The sequence below is a fragment of the Homo sapiens genome, assembly GCF_000001405.40.
Source record: "Homo sapiens chromosome 1 unlocalized genomic scaffold, GRCh38.p14 Primary Assembly HSCHR1_CTG1_UNLOCALIZED".
Classification (NCBI taxonomy): Eukaryota; Metazoa; Chordata; class Mammalia; order Primates; family Hominidae; genus Homo; species Homo sapiens.
In genome coordinates, this window is record NT_187361.1 from 165,041 (window position 1) to 166,873 (window position 1,833).

Below are 1,833 nucleotides of genomic sequence, written 5' to 3' on the forward strand. Positions count from 1 at the left end.
TCAAAGTCTTTTCGTTTACACGGAAAGACTTCTTAAACTGCCATGAATCAGGGTCAGGGGGAGGTCTTGTTACAACACAGATCTGTGCATCTCCGGGGTTTGATTGTGGCAAGGATGCTGCTGGTGTCAAAACCACAACGTGGGAACCACAGAACCACTAGTTGGTTTTCAGTGTTTCAGTGCATACAATTCCTAATATATCTGGCCAAGGAAATTTGTAAGTTATTAGATTGTCCCAAAGGTGGCGCATGAAATCAAAGCAGGAGAACAGTTTCCTACCAGGTGTAGCCTGGAAAAGTTGGGGGTGACTGATGGAAAGGAGGAGTGAAGCTCCTCCCTTTCCGCTGCTAGGCTGCGCCCGAGGCTATTTAAACCCACCCTGGCTGGCCTGTACTCAGATCTTCGCGGAGCGGATCAGCGGCCGGAGCGTTTGGCGGACTCTGCGTGGACTTGGAGCTCACAGCGTCTTGCGACTTGGAAGCGGATTCAGAGGACAGGACAGAACACTTGGGCAAGTGAATCTCTGTCTGTCTGTCTGTCTGTCTGTCTCATTGGTTGGTTGATTTCCATTTTCTTAAGGGGCACATACCTCACACCGCACACACACAAACACACACCGCACACACAAACACACACACACACACACGCGCACACACACACTCCTTCCTTCTGCGAGTTAGAAAATTGGTACGGGCCCCTGGGAGCTGCAGGTTTCCTAATCATGTCTGCACCTAAGAACAGTAGGGTCTTGTCTGGCTCTTCTTATGAACGGTCCCCCAGCTGGGACTCCCCAAGGTCCATGCGAGCCTCACCCAGCTTCTCCCTCTCCCCTCTCAGAAACTCAGGCTTAAGGGGAAGCTCCTCACCAGGGATCCGGAGCTACCATTCACCATCCCCTAGGGCTTCACCACACTCACCTCTGTCATCACCAGAATCCCACAAGCTCCCATTTCCCTGTCCTCACCGTGATGGGCAATCAATGAAGCCATTGGGCTCTCCCGTGTCCTCCTCTGAGGATTCCTCAGAGTCCCCACGTTCATCAATAATATACCACATGCTCTTACTGCCATCACCCAGCAGCTCACCCCCAGCTCTCGGGGGGTCTCCTGTGTCTCCCAGCTACTCTCCAAACAACCCCAGATTTCAGCTGGAGTCAGCCCCCCACACCCAGGAATCACCTACAAACTCACGAGCCTCACGGTGCTCCACCCCTGTGTCTTTCATCTCTTCACCCCCAGGCCTCAGGGACTCTCCTGTGGCTCCCAGTTACTCTTCAGCCATCCCCAGGTTCCTGCGGGAGCCAGCCCCATGCACCCAGGAGTCCCCCAGAGACTCACAGGTCTCGGGAGAATATGAGCGGTCCCCCAGCCCTGACTCCTCAAGATTCATGCCTGCCTCACCCAGCTTCTCCCTCTCCCCTCCCAGAAACTCAGACCCAAGGGGCAGCTTCTCACCAGGGATGTGGAAGTACTCTACATCACCACGCATGGCTTCACCACTCTCCTTACCATTAGAACACTCAGTAATCATATGAATTGTGCAGTTGTTGTTTTGCTTAACTCTTTTTGTTTGTTTATGCTTGGGGTTTTATTGTTGTTGTTTCACTTTTCTCCCATCTCTTCCTGACTTGGTCAAATCCAAAGGAATGTTCCAAATTGTGGGGAGCAAGGCCTCTGAATTGGCTAAAACTCCTATGGCTGCAAAAAAACAAACAAATAAACAACAACAAAAAGCATTCCAGTTAGCAGAAATTATTTTTTAAACCTTTTTTGTTACGTAACTAGTCTCATCTACATAAAAAGGTCATCCTTTTGCTAGCCAAGGCCAAACTGA

The 1,833-nt window shown here is 50.8% G+C and overlaps 1 annotated feature.

Annotated features, from left to right (window-relative positions):
* Positions 668-1,169: an enhancer, noted in NCBI's record as "OCT4 hESC enhancer chr1:143283469-143283970 (GRCh37/hg19 assembly coordinates)". NCBI's record gives its function as "activates a minimal SCP1, AML or CMV promoter by ChIP-STARR-seq in primed H9 embryonic stem cells {active_cell/tissue: H9 hESC(primed)}" and the evidence as "EXISTENCE:reporter gene assay evidence [ECO:0000049][PMID:30033119]".